This window comes from Homo sapiens, chromosome 2 (genome assembly GCF_000001405.40).
Source record: "Homo sapiens chromosome 2, GRCh38.p14 Primary Assembly".
In the NCBI taxonomy this organism is placed as follows: domain Eukaryota; kingdom Metazoa; phylum Chordata; class Mammalia; order Primates; family Hominidae; genus Homo; species Homo sapiens.
The window spans coordinates 54,497,043-54,519,121 of NC_000002.12; the positions used below are offsets into that span (position 1 = coordinate 54,497,043).

The 22,079-nt window shown below is 41.5% G+C and overlaps 1 protein-coding gene and 1 pseudogene across 11 annotated transcripts in view, besides 2 other annotated features; both read left to right on the forward strand.

Annotated features, from left to right (window-relative positions):
- SPTBN1 (spectrin beta, non-erythrocytic 1) overlaps nucleotides 1–22,079 on the forward strand; it is a 215,120-nt gene that overhangs the window by 40,716 nt on the left and 152,325 nt on the right. The window lies entirely within an intron of this gene.
- Nucleotides 1–22,079, forward strand: part of C9orf85P1 (C9orf85 pseudogene 1) — a 36,004-nt pseudogene that overhangs the window by 12,927 nt on the left and 998 nt on the right.
- Nucleotides 126–665: an enhancer, noted in NCBI's record as "NANOG hESC enhancer chr2:54724305-54724844 (GRCh37/hg19 assembly coordinates)". NCBI's record gives its function as "activates a minimal SCP1, AML or CMV promoter by ChIP-STARR-seq in naive H9 embryonic stem cells {active_cell/tissue: H9 hESC(naive)}" and the evidence as "EXISTENCE:reporter gene assay evidence [ECO:0000049][PMID:30033119]".
- Nucleotides 1,126–1,310: a silencer, noted in NCBI's record as "fragment chr2:54725305-54725489 (GRCh37/hg19 assembly coordinates)". NCBI's record gives its function as "represses an EF-1alpha promoter that drives an FKBP-Casp9 reporter gene in an ReSE screen in K562 erythroleukemia cells {active_cell/tissue: K562}" and the evidence as "EXISTENCE:reporter gene assay evidence [ECO:0000049][PMID:32094911]".

The following is a 22,079-nucleotide window of genomic DNA, read 5'->3' on the forward strand; positions in this document are numbered from 1 at the left end:
AATTGTAAATGGAGATAAACAGACAGCATGGAACATGAAGATACGAAATCTGCTTCTGGCTGTTGGTCTGGGGCCCCCACCAGGAAACCAGCACACCTGGCTTCCTTCTTTTTTACCGTAAGACCAGAGAAACCCTAGAGTTGCAGTGAGGAACTGTCTTGGGTTCTCTGAAAATGAGCATCATGAAAAATGCCTGGCTTAAAAGAAGAGAAGGAATTAATACATTTTGTTACAGGTATTATATTGGCTTCATTTAACAAATGCAGGAACAATTTTATAACTGGAACATTTAGCCACTGCAAAAACCATGAATTAGTTTTTTGGTTTTTTTCAAGTTTTCCACTAAGCTCACTTGAGTACTTTCTTCCTTCTTCCTTTGAGACTCACTCTAACCACCAGGGAGTCACCTCTTTATTGATCTGCCTCTTGATGCCAGGAATTTCCTTTCTTCTACCATACTTTACCTATGTTTGGTGAAACATTTGAATTCACATGTTACTGAACAGTGACTTGGTGTGTTAACCTTCTTAGGTTTTTAAACTTTGAACAACTGCCTTTCCTCAAAGGCAAAACTAACTTTTTTGGGAATTGCAGAAATCGTAACTCCCCAGGGACAGCTCACCCTCAGTCCTCCAAGCCATAGAATTTAAAGACTGCCTTGATGCCACCAAAAACCTCAGTACCTTTTGTTACAGAAAGAACATTGTGTGGTATACTTCCTATGTTTTGAAAAATATCTGCAAATATTTTGGGAACTGAATTTTGGGAAGGGCTACCCTCTGGCTGAACTCTGCTTACAAAATCCATAAAAACAGGGTTCCAGCTCTGCACAGCAGGACAGGTGCAAGTGTGCGCCAGTAACCTCACAGCCGGAGACCATCTCTACAAACATCCTGCCAGGAGAAGAGTAGAGAATAACAAAGGAAAAAAACAAGCCCTCCAGTTGGCATTCTTGTTGAGGAAGTCCATCAAGAATCAAGTTCCTGTCAACTTGTTTCTGTATTCTTTTGCTTAAAGAATCACAGTAGAGAGTCCCAATCTGAAAAAAACTTTGTTATATTTCTTAGGTTGGGGATACATACAGCATGGAGTTGGAACTTCAGTCTGTGGAGCCAAACCCAGACTGAAAGGCAGCAAGAGAGTAGCAGCTAAGAGCATAGACTAAGTGCTTCCACTGGGTGGAGCATGACCAGTGCATTCACAAGACGGGAATGTTCGGTAGACTTGCTGCCGGCCATGTGTGTGGCTTCTGAGCACATGTGGCTGGTGTGAATTTTAAATTTTATTTAATTTAAATTAAATTTAAATAGCTACACATGGCTTGTGATGACTGTGTTAGACAGCACAGGATAGACTTAGAAGCTAGACTACTTGGGTTCAAATTCCAGCTTCACTATCGTTTACCTCTGTGACCTTGGACAACATTCCCTGAGCGCTTTATGCCACAGTTTTCTCATTTGTAAAGTGATAAAAAGATAATAGTGCCTACCTCAAAAAAGGTTATTTTGAGGATTAAATGAGTTAATATTTGTAAAGGGCTTAGACCTGGGCACATAGTAAAAGCTATATCAGTGTTTCCTAAATAACGCAACTATATATACATCCCTAAAGTGAAAAATTGAACCTAGATCCATACTATATTTTTTTTCAAGAAGCTCCCATGCATCCATTGTCAATGCATTTTTCTTAAACACCCCTTAAATATTGGGGAAAGCAGAAAAGTCATTTATTTGATAAATATGTCTGGAGCCCGTACTTTATGCCAAATGCTGTGTTGGGTGCTGGAGATACATGTGTTGGTGCATAGAGACTTGATTCATCCTAATAAAAGGGTAACGGTCCCGCAGTGTTTTCACCTAGTGGTTAAGGAACTTTATAATACGAAGGGACTTTAAAAGTAGGGTAAAGGTGTAGATGTAGACGGAGAAACCCAGGAGACTTTGCATTTGCTCCTAGTCAGCTGGCTGGGACTTCACCCTTCACCTCCTGTTGGCTCATGCTTTTCCCTTTGCACCTGTGGAGCACAGGTGTGTCCTGAGGCCCTCACCAGCCATGCAGAAGCCTTCAGGTAGGGTTAACATTTGCCCACTTCTGGAAGGGATCGATCTGTTCTCAGATGACAGTGATAATTCTTGGCCTATTTTGACTCAATAGTGGCAATATTAGTAGTTTTTTTGTATTTGTTTTAATTTTTTTCTCCTTATTTAAGGAAAAGTTGGAAACTAATGTTGCTTCCTCCATTTTTTTTGTTTGTTTAAACTTTGCTGGTTCATGAGATTGAAAAGTCTGTGCTTAGACCATACCACCCGATGCAGTTTGTGTAAGCCTTAAAAAATAAATATTTCAGCCCCAACATTCATGTAGTACTAAAAGTGAGAGGCTTTTGAACCATAACTGATTTGACAAGAAATGGACATAATGGAGGAAGGTGACTGGTTGTTTGCGTGTTGATTTGCTTTCAGCACTTGCTAAAACGTGGAGCCAAGGGGAGAGAATCCACCAGGTTGCTTTACATGTGAAAAATATTAAAATGTCAGCACAGCCCAGCCACTGACATAAGAAAAACCGTTTCACAGTTAAGTCTCTAAATAATGTCCTAAAAACACAACATTTGTAATTATCTAATTAATAAAGGATACAGGTAATAGAAGTAATATGGAAGGCATTTTCTGGTAGATAAAGCTTCAGAAACCTTCACATCTGCACATGATTATGAAGCCCCTGTTATTACTTTGCTTTCCCCCTTCCTTTAGCCCATGTTTCTCACTATGAACTAATAGTACATAATAATAAAACCCTGGATGTCAGCCAACACAGAGTTTTGGCTAACTTTTCCAGTGTTTGTTAAAGTTGAAAAAGCATTGCAGCTGTTATGCTGGGTACTTTCCAATGGAGGATGTGTTTTCCAGATGAAGGCGCAAATGGTAATTGAAATGTAATCAGTATTTTTGGCATCTTGGAATTATAATTCTTTTTACGTTTGTAATGTTAATTGTTCATTTCTTAGGATTTGTTTTGTGTTTTTCTGTGATCTGTAATCTACTAAAAGTGAGAGAATGAACAAATGTTTTAGGCGGTTTTTCATTCTTTGAAAGAAAAATGGCAAGTAGTCACGTTTGTTAGGTGATGGCTTATTTTAAATAATCACAAAATTTATGTTTGAGACATTTTATTGTAAGACTCATGTTTCAGGCAACAGAAAACAGAAAATCTAAATCTCAAATACAACAAAATTTTAGAGATGAATGGAAACTTCTAGATCACTTGGATAGGCTGAAGACTCAGTGGGCCTCAGGTGTTCCCAGGACCAGGCTGCTGGAGATGTCCCTTTCTTTGAGAGATTTGTTCTGTTTTTTTTTCATCTCGATCCACTGTGTTAAGGAGGGGTGGGGTGTGTCTGCTGATGGTTTTATTGGTATTTGAGGTTTCTAAAGTTTTTTGTTTAAGCTAGAAAGAGCTCTAGCTGATTAGTAGCTCTCAATCCTTGGCTGGATATTTTATTTTTTGTTTTGTTTTGTTTTGAGACAGGGTCTGGCTCTGTTGCCCAGGCTGGAGTGCAGTGGCGCAATCATGGCTCACTGTAACCTCTGCCTCCCAGGCTCAAGGGATCCACCCACCTCAGCCTCCTGTAGTAGCTGGGACTACAGATGCATGCCACCACGCCTAGCTAATTTTTGTATAGATGGGATTTTGCCATGTTGCCCAAGGTGGTCTCAAACTCCTAGCCTCAAGGGATCTGCCTGCCTTGGCTTCCCAAAGTGTTGGGATTATAGGTGTGAGTCACTGTGCCTGGCTGGCTGCGCATTTTAAAGATCTTGATGCTCACTCATACCTGAGCCAGCATAATTAAATCACAGTATCTCCACAGGTGACAGTGATGTGCAGCCAAGAACAGTGTTCCTTTCCAGTCCTCTCTTTATAGACGAGGAAATTGAGGCCCTGAGCAGCTAGATGACTTGTCCAAAGTCCTCTGCTGGGACTGACCCAAATAAGGAATGGCTGATTTCTGGAAGGGATGTCAGATTCTCTGATTACAGATCTCTCGTGATCTTCTCTCGGGGCTCGTGGACTGTCCTGTCAACAGTCAGGCTAGGCAGCTGCAGAGAGCAGGACTCTGGGGTCCCCAGTGAGGAGGAAGCAAAGAGTCCTCATCTTCCTGTCCCCTTTACCCGAGTAGAAATTGCCCTTCCTTATCCCACATGAGCTACCAGAGGCATGATAAACTGCCTCTGGGGCTTTTTGGCTCTTTGGCTCTTTTTTTTTCTTTTTTATTCCTTTAGAAAGAAATAGGTTTGTAATTAGCTAACTAAGACTGACAAATACCAGACCAGTTGCTATATATTACAAAGGAGCTTCTTGAATAGCTGGTCACTTCTGCATATTGTAGAAACCTTCCTTCTCCCTTTTAGGGAACACTACACATTATTTAGGTACAGTGTTAGGGATAACTGATCATTTCTAATGCTGTGTATATCCATTAAGGGTAATTTAAAGCAATTAAATGCTAACCTGGCTGGACAGCCAGGTGTAGGTTTGTGGCATCCAGAAAGAGGAGATGGACTTGGTGGATTCTGAATTGGTCAGTTCCACCTCTTCGTGTTTTGGAGGCTTTGTCTCGTTACTTGCTCACCTTTCTGCTCAGTGCTCCTTGACATGGCGGGTCAGGTTGATGGGAGGTGGTACCTGGATGCCCTTTGCTGGCACTGGGCACTGCACCGGAGAGTTACCACCCCTGCCTGGGGATGGAGCCTCTCTGGGGAGAGGACAGTGCAAAGGTGGGGGACTGGGGAGTTGTGAGAAGTGGGAGCTAGAATATGGAGCAACTAGTGTGTATAGAGACTTCGTGAGAAAAGCTCGATCACGTTTTGGTAAGTATTTGCAGCTCCCTGAAAATTTGTGTTGGGAGGTGATCATTAGCATCTTCTGGAATATTTGCGCTAAAGCAAGACTAGATTAAGGAGCTTTGGTTCATTTCCAGACCTGTCCTGACAGCATCACTCTCCAAATGCTAAACTCTGAGAGAGAGAGTATGTGTATTTTTCTTTTCAGGATGTCAGTCAAATAATTCACTCATTCCTTTCCCCAAACACACTGGCCTTTGAAATGACACCCTACCCCTGCCAATAGTGAGACTGTGGTTCTGATCGGGGAGCTGGCGAGTTTCTGCTTTCTAGCCCCAAAGGCCTCACCCTTGCTCTCATCTGGAAGCTGATGGGAAGGTTTGTTAGTCTTCTCAGGAGCCTGTCACAGGACCTCAGGAACGTAGCCTGTAGTGGGCAGCTGGCATCAATTTAGTGCTGTGGGGATGGCAGGCTGTCAGAGTGGTTGCACTTTACCTGCACGCCCCCCAACCCAGCCCTCTGTGAAGGGTTGGTTTACATCAGGGATGGCTGCTCCTGACATAATTGTCTATTTCCGGCAACAGAGGAAGATACCTTCTGCCATTTAGAGAAGAGAAATAAATATTCACTTCAGAGAATACACTTTGAAGTGGGGCTGTGTGTGCATGGGTGACAGCTCCCTGCCTACTTTTCCTGCAAGGTTCTTGTACATCAGGAAAGGTTAATGGACTTCCCTTGAAGTCAGACAGAGATGTGTTCATGGAAAATCCAAGTGCAAAACCAAGGGCAAACTCTGGCTTTCCTGGGGGTTTTTTTGTTGTTGTTTCTCCTTTTAGAATGGACAGTGAAAGCAAGGTGAAGGGCTTCATTATTCCTCTTTTGTAAAGCCTGTTGAGCAGGAACCTTCTGGAGCTTCTAGATGGAGGTTCCTGGAGATTGTGTGAGTGGTGAGCAGTCTGGTTGAAGAGGGCCAGTGTTTGTTGGCTTTGCCCTCATTGTGTCAGGAATGAGCTCTGCACGGACTCAGAGAGCTAACAGATCAGCTAGGGTACCTCAGAGAAGAATGCACTCGAGGCTACTGCCATGTTCCCTCTGTGGTCATGAGGAAAGGAGAACTACCTGTGTGGCTTGGGGGCTTCCCTGACATAGTAATCACATTGGATTTTACAACTGGGTACATTCTTAGCCTTCAGTTTGGTGATCCCTGTGTTTAAAAAGAAAATCCTTTTGTTGTGTGGAGGTTAATCTGCTGAGCTTATTTTTGGTCATCCATTCTCACCTGCCCCACGACACTGGTCACTGGTGTCTCCATGCTGATATATTATGCTCAGCTTTTTTGCATGCTCCGCATGGAGATATGAACACAATTCTCATGGGAACTTGGCCCATCTTTCAGCACACTATGTCAGCCAGTTGCTGCCTTCCTGTTCATGGAGGACTAGGCGTAGTGTGGGGGTCTCATTGCTCATCTGGTTAGTGGCTTTGCAGTCAGAGCAAGCTGAGGGAACAGTGCCCCCTACCTGTCTGTTCTCCTGCAGGCCCAGTGTGGGAACAAGATGCTCTTCAGAGAAATCTCTTTGACACTGGCTGTCTCACCCAGCACCTACACTCTTGAAAATCTGAGGGCCTTAGCAGAATTTGAAAGTGTCCAAGGGTTAGAAATGAGAAGTCTCCATGAGCATGAAAGCGACCATCCTTGTAGGTCATTATTTTGATCCATGCTCTCATCACTGGTTTCACAAACAGGCCTTTCCTTTCTAGTCTTTGAACATACCAACTCTTTTCGAGTAACACAGCAATATTAAAAACATATACCCATTGCCAAAAAGCAAAACCAACCCACTTCTGGCTGAGAAACTGCTGAATACATAACTATTCATCCCTCAGTAGCTGAGTGTGGTTACAATGAATGGCTTTCCCATATTTTCTTGATGCTTCTAAATGTATGGGTTCACTTTTGGGGGGAATATTTTGGTGCTGTCATAATCTATATATGGAAGATGTTAAGGATATTTCCAGGAACTGCATTAAAACAGCCATAACAAACCATATTCTGCAGCCTTCAGGTGTAGTATTTTGATTGCTTGGTTTGGTTTATCACCAACTACTCTTCTGAGTATCCCCCACACTATATTAGGAATTTGTTACAATATGACTAATGCTGAATATGTGTGCATTGATTTTTAAGTGCACTGGGTGGGACTGACTTGTTCAAATCTCCGTTAAAGCAAATGTCTGATTAGGAGAAAAGTAAGGGAGTAATTTGTTAGGAAAACTACTTTCTGAGGTGCCCCCACCTCCCCTCCTTCCAACCTGAAGAGGCAGAGAGGTTTGTGTAAACAAAGGTCCTGCAAGGCACAGCTGTTTTACATTCTGATGTTCTATGACTTTCTTAAATAAAAACCTTTTGGATTTTCATATCTATTTAGCTAGTAGGAATATTTCCTCCTTTTTCGGAGAATAAAATCCTAGACTTAAGGATATTCCTTGGGTGACTGAGAAGTCATACCAGCCTAAGCAGTACAGCTGGCCCCCTGTATCCATGGCTTCTGCATCTGTGAATTCAACCAACCATGGATAGAAAATATTTGGGAAAAAAAATCCACAAAGTTCGAAAAAGCAGAAGCACGATTTGCTGCTTACTGAGAACTGCATTGAATCCATGTGAGTAAGGTGATGTGTAGGCGTTGTATTAGGAATTATAAGTAATCTTTAGGTGATTTAAAGTATTTGAGAGGATGTGTGTCGGTTTTATACAAATACTACACCATTTTATATAAGGGACCTGAGCGTCCATGGATTTTGGTATTCATAAGAGGTCCTGGAACCAATTGCCCATGGGTAGTGAGGGATGACTGTATTTTCTAATTAAAAGGTTTTTTTTTTAATAAGCAAATGTTTTACTTAGTACCTTATAATATTTTAAAAAGCGTAAAATTCCCAAATAAAGTAATTGGTTTAGTGATAAATATTTCCAGTGGCGTACTTAAAATGAATGTTTTCATCAGAATGCAGAAGCTGTTTTGAGAACTTTTTGCTCATTATTTTCAGTGGGGTTGTGAAATCCAATGAAAACGTGTATAAATGTTTGTAGAAGAATACTTTGTTTATAGAGTGCAAATATTTTCTTGATATGACAACACCCCAAACAAAGAATGGTTACAATTAAAGTAATGGTGATTCAGTTAAACATAGAGCTGGAAAAGCCATTATTTTGAAATATCTTCTGAGCCTCATTGAAGAGAGAGTGTCTTACACACCTTGGGAACCAAGTTTTGCATATTATAGTATTACCACATTGTATTCGATCACAAGAATGGTGTGAATACTTGGTGGTTAAACAAATTATTGATGCTTGTTAGTTGGATGAGATCTTGGAATGCATGCATCCCGGCTTCCCACACAGTACTCAGTTCTTTCTGTAGCTATCCTGTTGAATATATGGAGAGTACAGTATACTTTCAGGCAAGATGGTCATTTAACAGGTCATTATTTAAACATTGTTTCAGTGTGTGCTGTGAAAACAACAACAATAACAACAACAAATCGAATACCTCTCTGCTCTCTGCATTTTTGGAGCGCTCTAGCTGTTAGAAAGTACCTCCTAACCCCTAGCCACTGTGAAGTTGTTGCTCCCTGCCTGCTGGGAAATCTGTGCCAGCTCTCCCAGGAAGGCTCCTGAAGCTGCCTGCACATACCTGCCAGGTGTGTCTCCTGGACTTTTCCCCAGGGGTCCTAGCTCCTGGGCTGGGTCTCCTAGGTGTCTTACAGCCTGGCTGCCCCTTCTGGACACTCTTGGCTTGGTCAGTACCTGGGGTGATTTAACTTGGCGTCTAACAGTGAAGCTTCCTTTAGTTGTATCTTCTGCTGTTGCTTCACATTGAGCTTGCCACGTTTTCCTTGAATTGCTGTCAGTTTTTCTCTCTTCCAACCTTGGGAACTTTATTTTTAAAAATCTGGGCCAGGCGCGGTGGCTCACGCCTGTAATCCCAGCACTTTGGGAGGCTGAGGCGGGCGGATCTCGAGGTCAGGAGATCGAGACCATCCTGGCTAACACGGTGAAACCCCATCTCTACTAAAAAAACAAAAAATTAGCTGGGCGAGGTGACGGGTGCCTGTAGTCCCAGCTACTTGGGAGGTTGAGGCAGGAGAATGGCGTCAACCCGGGAGGTGGAGCTTGCAGTGAGCCAAGATCGCGCCACTGCACTCCAGCCTGGGCAACAGAGTGAGACTCCGTCTCTAAATAAATAAATAAATAAATAAATAAATAAATAAATAAAATCTGAATGCAAGACTGTATGTGTGCTTGAATAATTTGAATCCTCTCTTGGCCCTGGGACCTTCCCCGTGCTACATGTGCTTTCGGAGGTTGTGAGGAAAGGGCTGACCAGGCCATGGACCTGTCCCAGAGCCGGCACCCTTGAGCATGGCTGCTCAGACAGCAGTGAAAATTTGTCTTAGAAATTTGAAGTTGCTTTTGAAGCTTTTTGGTCAGTGAGAGAACTTAAAAATTCTCATGTAAATATAATTTAAAAAATATAGATGACTCAATCTACAAGAGCTTATCTGTTTGGTTTTTTTTTTTCTACTTATAGTTTACATTTGAAAAAATTTACCACTTGATGAACTGAGTAATTTTTTCTTCTTGATAGTAGAGGAATTGGTAGGGAAAGTGCTTCTAATACTCTTCGAAGCTGAGAAAATTTTAAGTATAAAGTTTGTTCATTAAACATTTGTGTATTGTTGTCTGGGAGCTAGACACTATATTTAGGGATACATTGATGAAAAAGAGAGAAATACCCAATAGTTCTTGGAGAGTACAGTATACTTTCAGGCAAGATAGTCATTTAATAAATACACAGGTAATTATTTAAACACCATCGTAGTGCGTGCTATGAAAAAACAACAAACCAGTAGGAACATAGAACAGGAGAGGCCCTGGGCTGGGACTAGGGGTTTCAGAAGAGTCTCTCCAGAGAAAGTAAAGTTTAGGTTGATCTGGTTCTCTCTCTTTTTTTTTTTTTTGAGCAACAAGACTGTTTATTTCACCTGGGTGCAGGCAGGCTGAGTCCAAAAAAGGAGTCAGCAAAGGGTGGTGGGATTATCATTAGTTCTTACAGGTTTTGGAATAGGCGGTGGAGTTAAGAGCAATGTTTTGGGGGCAGGGGGTGGATCTCACAAAGTACATTCTCAAGGGTGGGGAGATTATATAGAACCTTCTTAAGGGTGGTGGAGATTACAAAGTACATTGATCGGTTAGGGTGGGGCAGGAACAAATCACAATGGTGGAATGTTATCAGTTAAGGCTATTTTCACTTCTTTTGTGTATCTTCAGTTGCTTCAGGCCATCTGGATGTATACGTGCAGGTCACTGGGGATATGATGGCTTAGCTTGGGCTCAGAGGCCTGACATTCCTGTCTTCTTATATTAATAAGAAAAATAAAATAGTGGTAAAGTGTTGGGGTGGGGAAAATTTTGGGGGGTGGTATGGAGAGATAATGGGCAATGTTTCTCAGGGCTGCTTTGAGCAGGACTGGGGCAACATGGAAACCTAGTGTGGGAGAGATGAAGCTGAAGGAAGATTTTGTGGTAAGGGGTGATAATTGTCGGGTTGTTAGAAGAAACATTTGTCGTATAGAATGATTGGTGATGGCCTGGATATGGTTTTGGATGAATTGAGAAACTAAATGGAAGACACAAGGTCTGAATAAGAGAAGGAGAAAAACAGGTATAAAAGGACTAAGAATTGGGAGGACCCAGGACATCTAATTAGAGTGTCCAAGGGGGGTTAGTGTAATTACTTGCTTGGTTGGCAAGCTTTTAGGCTCTATCTTTGAGTTTTTTTTAATGTTGTCATATACCAGGCCAGATTGATTTAGGTAAAAATAGCACTCTTCATTTAAAAATATAGAGTCCCCTTTTTTTTTTTTTTAGCAGTAAGTCGAGACCTTTGTGATTTTGGAAGAAAGAGAAATGCAAAGCCAGCAATTGTTTGTTAAAGAAGGATTAGAAACGGCTAGGAGAGAGTAACTGAGATTGATAGTGTGATAGAGATAGCTGGGGAGAGGTAGAGGGTGGCATAAGAACGGGAATGAGAATAAGAGTAAGTATAAAAGTAAAGAATAGGACTTCATCAGGGTGAAAGTATTGGAGGGTACCTTGCCACTGAAGATCTTCTATCCACTTAAAGAGAGACTTAAGGGTGGCAGTTTGAGGAAAAACCAGGTGCCACTGAATACCAACAGCCTGAGAAACTGCTTGGGTGATTTGACTAGTAAAGGCCGGTCCGTTATCGGACTGTATAGAGGTGAGAAGGCCAAACCGAGGAACTATGTCTGACAGAAGGGAATAAATGACCACGGTGGCCTTCTTAGACCCTGTGGGAAAGGCCTCTACCCATCCAGTGAAAGTGTCTACCCAGACCAAGAGGTATTTTAGTTTCCTGACTCGAGGCATGTGAGTAAAGTCAATTTGCCAGTCCTGGGCGGGGCAAATCCCCGAGCTTGATGTGTGGGGAAGGGAGGGGGCCTGAGAAATTCTTGAGGAGTAGTAGAATAGCAGATGGAACACTGAAAAGTGATTTCCTTGAGGATAGATTTTTGCGATGGAAAGGAAATGAGAGGTTCTAAGAGGTGGGCTAGCGGGTTCTAAGAGGCGGGCTAGCGGCTTGCAACCTACATGGAAGAGGTTATGAAATGACGAATAGAATGGGCCTGTGAGACTGGAAGGAGATTTTTCTTTGGTCCAAGAACCATTTGCTTTGTGTGGGAAGAGATGGGTGGAAGTTTCAGCGAGGGAGTAGGTGGGAGTGGCCAGATGAGAAGGAGGAAAACTGCCCTGAGGGATAGAAGTTGGAACGCTAGCTGCTTTTTTAGCTATCTTATCAGCATAGGCGTTGTCCAGAGCAATGGGATCTGAAGCCTTTTGATGGCCTTTGCAGTGAATGACTCCGGCTTTCTTTGGAAGTAAAGCAGCCTTGAGAAGAGTTCTTATTAAAGAGGCATTATTGATGGAGGACTCTTGCATAGTGAGGAAACTTCTTTCTGCCTATATAACAGCATGGTGGTGCAGGATATGGAAGGCATATTTAGAGTCAGTATAAATATTGATGGGTAGTCCCTTTGCAAGAGTGAGGGCTCAAGTTAAGGCAGTGAGTTCAGCTTGCTGAGAGGTAATGGAGGGGGGCAGAGCGGTAGCCTCAGTGATAGATGTGGAAGATACTATAGCATAGCCTGCCTTTGCTGGTGAGTGGCGATTAGGCCTGGTGGAACTGCCATCAATAAACCAAGTGTGATCAGGGTGAGGAACAGGAAAGAAGGAAACATGGAGAAAGGGAGTGAATGTCATGTGGATCAGAGAGATACAGTCATGGGAGTCAGATGTATCCGGAATAGTGTGGGAGGCTGGATTGAAGTCCGGGCCAGGAACAATGGTAACTGTGGGAGACTCAACAAAGAGTGAGTACAGCTGAAGGAGCCGGGGAGCAGAAAGTATATGCATCAGGTGTGAGGAAGAAAATAGATTTTGGAAGTTATGAGAACTATAGAGAGTGAGTTGAGCATAGTTTGTGATTTTGAGGGCCTCTAAAAGTGTTAGGGCAGCGGCAGCTGCTGCACGGGGACATGATGGCCAGCCTAAAACAGTAAGGTCAAGTTGTTGATCTGGTTCTCATTTATCCATTGTCCTTATCTTTAAAATCACAAGATATTGAGAGTTAGCAGTGCCATTGCTAATGAGATTAGAAAGCCTTCATTAATTACAGGATCCTTGGATTGAGATTGGAGTTTAATGGCACAGAAGGCAGCTTTAGGGTTCACTTGGTGAATTAATCTGCTCAGGCTGCCATAACAGAATGCCACAGACTGTATGGATTAAACAACAGAAATTTATTTTCTCACTGTTCTGTAGGGTAGAAGTCCAAGATCAAGGAGCTGTCAGTTGATTTCTGATGAGGCTTCTCTTCCTGGCTTGCAGATGGCTGCCGCCTCACTGTGTCCTCACCTGGCCTTTTCTTTGTGCAAATGGGTGGGTGCAGGGGAACCATAGTGTCTCTTTGTTCCTTGCTTTCTTTCTTTTTTTTTTTTTTTTTAATGATAAGGGGTCTCACTCTGTCACCCAGGGTAGAGCGCAGTGGCATGGTTTCTGCTCACTGCAACCTCCGCCTCCCAGGCTCAAGTGATTCTCCCACCTCAGCCTCCCAAGTAGCTGGGATTACAGGCACCCACCTCTGCGCCCGGCTAATTTTTGTATTTTTATTTGAGACAGGGTTTCACCATGTTGGCCAGGCTGGTCTCAACCTCCTGACCTCAGGTGATCTGCCCAAAGTGCTGGGATTATAGGCGTGAGCCACTGTGCCCGGCCATTCTTTGTTCCTTTTCTAATAACTACACCAGTCCTATTGGATTAGGGCCCTACCATTATGACCGCACTTAACCTAGATTACCTCCCTACAGGCTCTGTCTCCGAATACAATCACATTAGGGGTTACTCCTACAACATGTGAATTTGGAAGGTGAGCACAATTTGGTCCATAACACTCAGGCACCACTAAAAATCCAGCTACTGCTGGTGCCCAGCCCCTGATACTTCTCTCTGTGCAGAGTCATAGAATACTAACAGAATTTAGTTCCCTCTAAATGTTCCAAATTGCCCTGACATCCGGTTCATTCTTCTGTGCTGCTGATTTTGACAACAGAAGCAACTGCTTTGAAAGCATTTTGAGATAGGAAAAACAAAGTGCATATTATGTTGCAGATATTTTGGGAAATAGAAAACTTGTTTATTAGTAACATATTTCAAGGAGATGAAGTTATGGACTTGATTTTGGTCAAGTAAGTAGTTGAAAAATGCAGTTTCAAAAATCACATCACCAGGGAGATTTTAAAGAAATTCAGAGTGGTCTGGATGCCCTGATCTTTTCTTCTAAGTTTTTTCCCCCTACTGGGAGAACGCAGAAACTTGCTGATTCCTTTTGCTCTTATACCTGATTGAAGACTTCACCAGCTAAGATCTTATTTTCATTTTGCAGTCATTTGAGCGATAGTAGGAGCCAGATAAGTTTGAATTACAAGCCCATGCAGCTTTGGACAGGCTGTGCATTATCCTGTGACTTTCTGGAAAGTGTGGTGAGGTATCCCCAGCCTGGGTGTTGGGCTGATTGGCTTGGTTGGATTAGGGTCTGGCCCCACAGTAGACATACTTAACATACTTAACTTATGGCTGTCACCTATGATAAATGCACTGTAAATCAGAGATCTCCTTTGTGGTTCTAAACTTATGGCAATATTTTAGGCACCATCGCTCATTTTTCTTGTATACTCATGTTTAGATATTCTGGAAGCCAAAGTGAATCCACATTTACTTTAACTGACTTTTGTTACCAAGCTTGATATTGAGTTCCTTTGAAAATAAGCTTTTAAGCAGTCATGTGCAGGCCTCTAATGGATTCCAGACTGTGTAGACTGTATTGTTAAACAATATTTTGTTTTTAAAAATTTTTTTCTTCGGATTGATCAGGTTTAAACAAATTTTAGTAATAGAATAGTGGTCTCCAACCTTTTTGGCACCAGGGACTAGTTTCGTGGAAGACAGTTTTTCCACTGACGGGTTGTGGGGATGGTTTCGGGATGATTGAAGCACATTACTTTTATTGTGCACTTTATTATTATTACATTGTAATATATAATGAAATAATTCTGGCCGGACATGGTGGCTCACCCTTGTAATCCCAGCATTTAGGGAGGCCAAAGTGGGCAAATCACCTGAGGTCAGGAGTTCGAGACCAGCCTGACCAACATGGTGAAACCCAGTCTCTACTAAAAATACAAAAATTAGCCAGGTGTGGTGGTGGCGCATGTCTGCAATCCCAGCTAGGGATTGCAGAGGCTGAGGCAGGAGAACCTCTTGAACCCAAGAGGTGGAGGTTGCAGTGAGCCAAGATCATGCCACTGCACTCCAGCCTGGGTGACAGAGCTAGACTCCATCTCAAAAAATAATAATAATAATAATTCTACAACTCACCATGATATAGAATCAGTGGGAGCCCTGATCTTGTTTTCCTCCAATTAGATGGTCCATCGGCAGGGGTGATAGAAGACAGTGACAGATCGTCTGGCGTTAGATTCTCATAAGGAGCGCACAATCCTGATCCCTGTCATGTGCAGTTCACAGTAGGGTTTGCGCTCCTATGAGGCTGTAATGCCACCATGAATCTGACAGGAGGCAGAGCTCAGATGGTAGGTATAAGCAAACTATGGGGAACAGCTGTACTTCGCTTGCTTGTCCGCTGCTCACCTTCTGCTGTGTGGCCTCGGGGTTGGGGACCCCTCTAATAGAGGTTTGATCATGTTAAAATGATAATTATTTGAATGTTTTTTCTAGGATTGATATTCTCTTCCTTTCAAGTATCATAGGCCAATCTTTACTCATTTTGTTTATTTGAAAGGTTATGGATTTCTAAGTAAGTCTGGGAAACATTTACCAAGCATACAAAGGGGAAAGGCTTGTTGCTGCAGTGTTAATGCAAGCGATGGTAGTTATTTGAACAGCTCTTTGAGAAAATTTAATAAAGTGTAAATCTCTGGAAATCTGGGTTGCCATGACAGTGTAGGACCTATTTAGGATATTTTACAAAGAGAAATGATCTTAAAATCGTCTACATTTAAAATAAATATGTTAAAAGGCAAATGCTGGTGAGATTGTGAAATTAGTGATTACTGCAATCCTATCCAAATATGACCCCTCATGTTTTGCGACAGTTGAAAATAAATTTATAATTTTATAACTTACAAATTTATAACCTTCTCTGAATAAATCTGAGTAAAGAGAAGGTTGTTCCTGTGTAACAATGAGAATTTTACTGGGATCCAAAGTACATACTATTTAGGTAGGAAGAAGCACTATGTTTTAGAGTTAGATTACTCTGCTGCAATACAGCTCCTACCATCTGTGTTGCATTTCACAATTGTTTTTGAGCACCTGCTATGGCTTAGGTGCCATGCTGGTTACTAATGGTTTAAAGATGAACAGAATAGGCTGGGCACGGTGGCTTAGGCATGTAATCCCAGACTTTGGGAGGCTGAGGCGGGCAGATCACTTGAGCCCAGGAGACCAGCCTAGGCAGCATGGCGAAACCCTGGCTCTACAGAAGATACAAAAATTAGCCAGGCATGGTGGTGTGTGCCAGTGGTTCCAGCTACCAGGGAGGCTGAGGCCCTGGAGGCAGAGGTTGCAGTGAGCCAACACTGCACCACTGCACTCCAGCCTGGGCAACGGAGTGAATCCCTGTCTCAAAACAAGCAAGCAAACAAAAAAGAAACCACACTAGAACAGAACAAAGAGGATGCTGGCCCTTGCAGAGCTTGTGGTGGTGGGGGGAGGTATATGTGTCTCACATATCACTTAGTATAGTGTTGGTTTTCAGTGTAGTTTTACATATTTGTTTCATTTCATTCCCTTCCAGGTAATTGAGATATGCATTTCCACTTGATAGATTTGCAGAGGATTTTGGCATTGGGTTGCTCTAGGAGAAGTCAGATTACAAATAAAAAGTGCTTTATTGCTCCTGTGTTGTTCAGGCACATATGATACTAACTTATGAAATTTCACAACAAATAGGGCAGTGAAATGCCAAACTCACTGAAATTCAGGACTGGTATTTTGGCAGCAGCACCATTAGAACTATACTCTAATGTAATTTAAAACTATTTGGAAGTAAATGTAAGACCAAATTGTTATTTGTGGTGGCTAGAAACCCCACATTAGCCATAAGACCATGGTGCTAGGTCTGTATTGAGTTAATAGTTTCTATTTTTAAAAATAATTTAGTCAACCAGAAGACATCAGTTAATTTCAGTTTTTTAATAGCTCTTCTCTGTATGTGGAACAGAAACAAGGATGGCCTTGAACTGCCATGTATATGAGAATAGCTGTGTATTTATTTGGTAGGACTTAAAAAATATTTTAGTTGGTTCAAGTTAGGTGATTTCAAGATTTGTAACTGAACATTGGAAAAATTAACTTTTCTCTCTAGATCTATCTACTTTCAATATTCAGCTGATTTTTCAAAATATTAGGACTTACAAAATTATATTTAGATTTTAGAGAGTATTATATGTAAGCGGAGAAGAAGTACTTTAAAATTTTAATGTACGAGTAGTAAAGAAGGATAAATTTCTATGCAGCAGATAAAGAATTTTCTTCTCAGGGACTCAAATAATAAATCCATTTGTAATATCACTGTTCCTTGTGCAGTTTGCTCTGTAAAATGGAGGAAGGTGAGAGGGGTGCCATGTTTCTGTCTCATACCGTTTTTTGTTATAGAGTGTATTCATGGTTATACTGTATAATAATGATAATAAGTTCTTAAACCGTGGTGATGAGATCTATTTGGCAGAATGTTTTAAAATAAACAGTGTATTTCCCACGAGTGAAATCTTAAAAAACAATTAATTTCCATTATAGTAAGGGTGAATTTTGCTCCTTCAAAGAGTATAGAGCCTGGTTGAATTTGCCCATTAAGAAAAAAAAATGTGTCTATTGGACTGTGTTGTTTGTAAAGCTAGAATCACCTTCCAGTGGCGTTTTCCATCCTTACAGGAAAGAGGTTTATCTCTGAATATTGAGAATGGAGGTTCATAATGGGCATTTTAGCGTTTGAATGTTGTAGGAAGAAGATGGCTAAATCTTCACTGCTCCCCTAAAGTACACACGTTAGTTCTGGTGGGGAGTAGCCACTCTGAGATTTTATATCAGAGACATAATGAATGGGACCCATGATATGTGAAATTCTAATTCTTTAGTACAGAGAAATGTGCTCTTCATCTTTCTGTCTTCTGAGGCTTTTTTCAAGTGTTCGAAACTGCCGTTGCAAAACTCTAACTGAGACAGTGGAAGAGATCTGTACTAACCAACTCCATCTTGCTTCTAACCTCCAAGCAGTCCTTGCTCTTTCCTGGGCTTAGGCCAAACTAACTTTGAGAGGGACTTAGTTTGTAGTTTAAAACAAAGATGATAACAAAACCCCCTTCTTGCCTGGGGACTAGATTGCTTTTGTAGGACTAGCAAATTAACCACAACATTAGAAAATATGGTTTAGGAGTCATGCTGCTGGAGGCTGCAAGATTCTAAACCTCCCCAAATGGTTCCTGGGAATAACATCACTATTGCAAAACCTAAGATGAGTGCTTGTGACATTTTGCAGACCCTGTCCTCGATGGATCATTTGGCACCACCCAGATGGATAAACTGGCTTATCTGGTCTTGTGGCCCCCACCCAGGACTGACTCAATGCAAGAGGACAGCTTCAACTCTGTATTCATCTCCACCCCTACCAATCAGAACTGCCAACTCAGTGGACCCCTACCCAGCAAATTATCCTTAAAAACTCCAGTCCCCAAATTCTTGGGGAGACTGTTTTAAGTAATAGCAAAACTCTGGTCTGCTGCACAGCCAGCTCTGTGTGAATAACTTTATTGCAATTCCCCTGTCTTGATAAATAGGCTCTGTCTAGACAGTGGGTGAGGTGAAACTGTTGGGTGGTTACATCTTCATTAAAGGAGATGAGCATTTTTTTCTTTAGCTTGGATAGTGTTTTTCATCATTTTTTTCATTATTCCCATCCCTTATCAGGAATTTTTTAGATTATTTATTTATTTATTTATTTTTGTGACAGGGTCTTGCTCTGTCCCCCAGGCTGTAGTGCTTTGGCATGATCACAGCTTACTGCAGCCTTGGCCTCCCAGGCTCAAGTGATCCTCCCATTTGAAGATGAATGGCTGGGACTACAGGCATGTGTCACCACACTTGACTAATTTTTAATTTTTTTGTAGAGACGGGCTCACTTTGTTGCCCAGGCTGGTCTCGAACTCATGGCCTCAAATGATCCTCCTGCCTGGGCCTCCCAAAGCACTGGGATTACAGATGTGAGCCCCCTCGCCCAGTGTGACCCTTTTTTTCCTCCTAATTGCCCACCCATGAAATTTTCATGCCATAGATACATTATATATCTATGCTAATATGAAAAAGAATACAATTTTTTGCCTCATCCCCAAAATGAATTTTCATTCCTTGTGGGGGCAATATCACCCCCATTGTGTATGTACAAGGAGACCTGGCTGGGTGGGTAACTGGCCTAGGCGTAATTAGACTTTGATGCAGGTCATTCATTTCCTTATTTATTTAAGAGCCTTGAGTCTTTTTGATATTTTTCTGACATAGACCACTATTAAAGGGTTCTTGCCTTAGAGGGTAGGCCAATTTGTTCATTTAAAGCATGGGCTTTGGAGTCATACCCACTTGGTTCAAGTCCTCTTGGTTTCTTCATTTTTTTCCTGTGCCACCACCAGCAAAACTTTAGTTTATTCACCTGTAAAATAGGGCTAATAATAGTATCTACTTCAAAAGGTTGCTGAGGAGGATGGAATGAGAAAGCAAATAAAGCACCGCACCCCAGAAAGAGTAAGCCATCCTCCCAAAATGTAATTTTTAGCTGTGTTAGGGTTTAGAGTCATCACCTCTGCATTTTAAAGATTAGGTTGTGTTCTTATGGTACAAGATTCAATAGTGATGAAGATATTATGATAAAAGCATCATAGCTGTGTGACTTGATTGAGTTGTTTAACTCTTGGGGCCCCAGTTTCCATATTTTTGTTAATTATGATTGAAAATACAAAATAAATTGACTGAAACGTCAAATATGGTAGTAATCCCAATAAATGCAAATGGATTATGCTTGCCGACTAAGTGACAGAGGCTCTTGGGTTAGATTGAAACAAAGAGAGGCATACCTAAGACAAAGTGACTCTAGAAGTGTGAACTCAAAATGTCTGAGACAAGTCTCAGTCAATTTAGAAAGTTTATTTTGTCAAGGTTAGGGACACACCAGTGACATAGCCTCAGGAGGTCCTGATAACATGTGCCCAAGGTGGTCAGGGTACAGCTTGCTTTTATACATTTTAGGGAGACACAGTACATCAATCAGTACATGTAAGATTTACATTGGTTTGACCTGGAAGGGCAGGATAGGGGCAGCCTTCCAGGTCATAGGTAGATTTAAATTTTTTCTGATGGCAATTGGTCGAAAGAGTCATTATCAGTAGAAAGGAATGTCTGGCTTATGGTAAGGGGTTGTGGAGACCTAGGTTTTATCATGCAGATGAGGCCTCCAAGTAGCAGGCTTCAGAGAGAATAGAGTTTGAGTATTTCTTATCCCACTTAAGGTCTGAGTTGATGTTAATGCTGGAGGGGGATGGATAGTGAGGCATGTCCATCCTCCCCTTTTCCATCATGGCCTGAAAGAGATTTTCAGGCAACTCCGGGATGCCCTTGGCCAAGAGGGCCCATTCAGATGGTTGGGGGCCTTAGAATTTTATTTTTAGTTTACAGAAGGTTTGAAATAAGGGGATAGAAAAATACATACCAGGCAAATATTACTGTCAATCAAAATAGAGTTCATATGTTAATAGAGATACAACAATATTTCATAATATTAACAGCTCATCTGGAAGATAAAATAATTATGATCTTGTAACATACTCAGGGAATGAGAAAGAAAATCTGATAATCATAGTGGGAAATATTACTATACTCTGTCATTGATAAATAAAAGTTAGTACAGCTATAGATTATTTGAAGTCCAAAATACTTTATTAACAAGAGTTTAGTAATTTAATAATTATTAATAGGTCTCAGAGAACCTTTCCCTGTCAGGATGATCTGATTTTGTGAATTTTGGCTGAACTGTATACAGCTCTATGGTGCCTTTTTTTTTTTTTTCTTTTGAGACAGAGTCTCGCTCTGCCACCCAGGCTGGAGTGTAGTAGCGCTATCTCAGCTCACTGCAACCTCCATCACCCGGGTTCAAGCAATTCTGCTGTCTCAGCCTCCTGAGTAGCTGGGATTATAGGCGCCCGCCACCTCGCCCAGCTAATTTTTGTATTTTTAGTAGAGACAGGGTTTCACCATGTTAGCCAGGCTGGTCTCGAGCTCCTGACCTCATGATCCGCCCGCCTCAGCCTCCCAAAGTGCTGGGATTACAGGCATGAGCCACTGTGCCTGGTATTGTTTTTTTTTTTTTTTAAACAGTGGATATGTTTCTGTAAAGCTGCAGTACACTGGATTGTTTTAAAAGTGAAGGCTACTTTAATAATAGACATTATATGCTTGTGACTTTTCTTGTGTTGTTAATTATCATGCCGTGACTTTTCATGTGTGTCTTTATATTTATGAGCAGAGAACTCTGAATGTTTGGGATGCAATCTCGGTCCTTTTTTGGCACTAGCCCCATGTACCTGAGTAATAATAGGTCAGACAGGTTATTAAGAAACAGTGGTTTCTTGCATGTTCTCACTCATAGGTGGGAATTGAACAGTGAGAACACTTGGACACAGGGCGGGGAACATCACACACCGGGGCCTGTCATGGGGTGGGGAGATGGGGGAGGGATAGCATTAGGAGAAATGCCTAAAGTAAATGACGAGGTAATGGGTGCAGCAAACCAACACGGCACACGTATACATATGTAACAAACCTGCACATTGTGCACATGTCCACTAGAACCTAAAGTATAATTAAAAAAAAAAAAAAAGAAACAGTGGTTTCTTGTAGATACTCCTTTTTGGCAACTGAACAGTTGAGATAGTTGAAGCAAAATTCTCAGACACACGATTTGCAGTTTGGTGCCTTCAGAGTCCTTAGAAGGCCTTTTTAAAGATAGCATACCAGCATCCAGTGTACACTTTTTCAAGTCTTTTATGAATAAAGTGGGAGTGTTTTAAGTGTTTGCAGAACATTTGGGTCTCTGAATTCTGCCAAAGTAATTGTTACATAGTTTTCTTCCTCGAAAAGGACTGGCAAACATTGGTCACCTTCTTCATTTTATTTAATTTATTTGAGCCTTTTAAGATTGGGTATTAAGGAAGTGTGTGTATATGGGTGTGTGCATATGTGTAGTGCCAATGAAAATTCCATGTATTCTCTATTTGTTGCTTTACTCTCTGAAATCTGAGTAGTTCAGACAAAAAATAATTTTTTTACAAGGGTAAAAACTAAATTTAAAAGGGAAATCTAAATTTTATTATGTGTATGGAGAGGCACCTTATAAAATATTCACTCTTTCATTAGCAGCCTATTTTAAAAAATGTGACTTCCTTGAAAGCAGAGTGTCTACCAGATCTATCTAAATCAGAGGAGTATATGTTTCAGGCGTTGTGACTGATGGAGATAGTACCAGAGTGGCA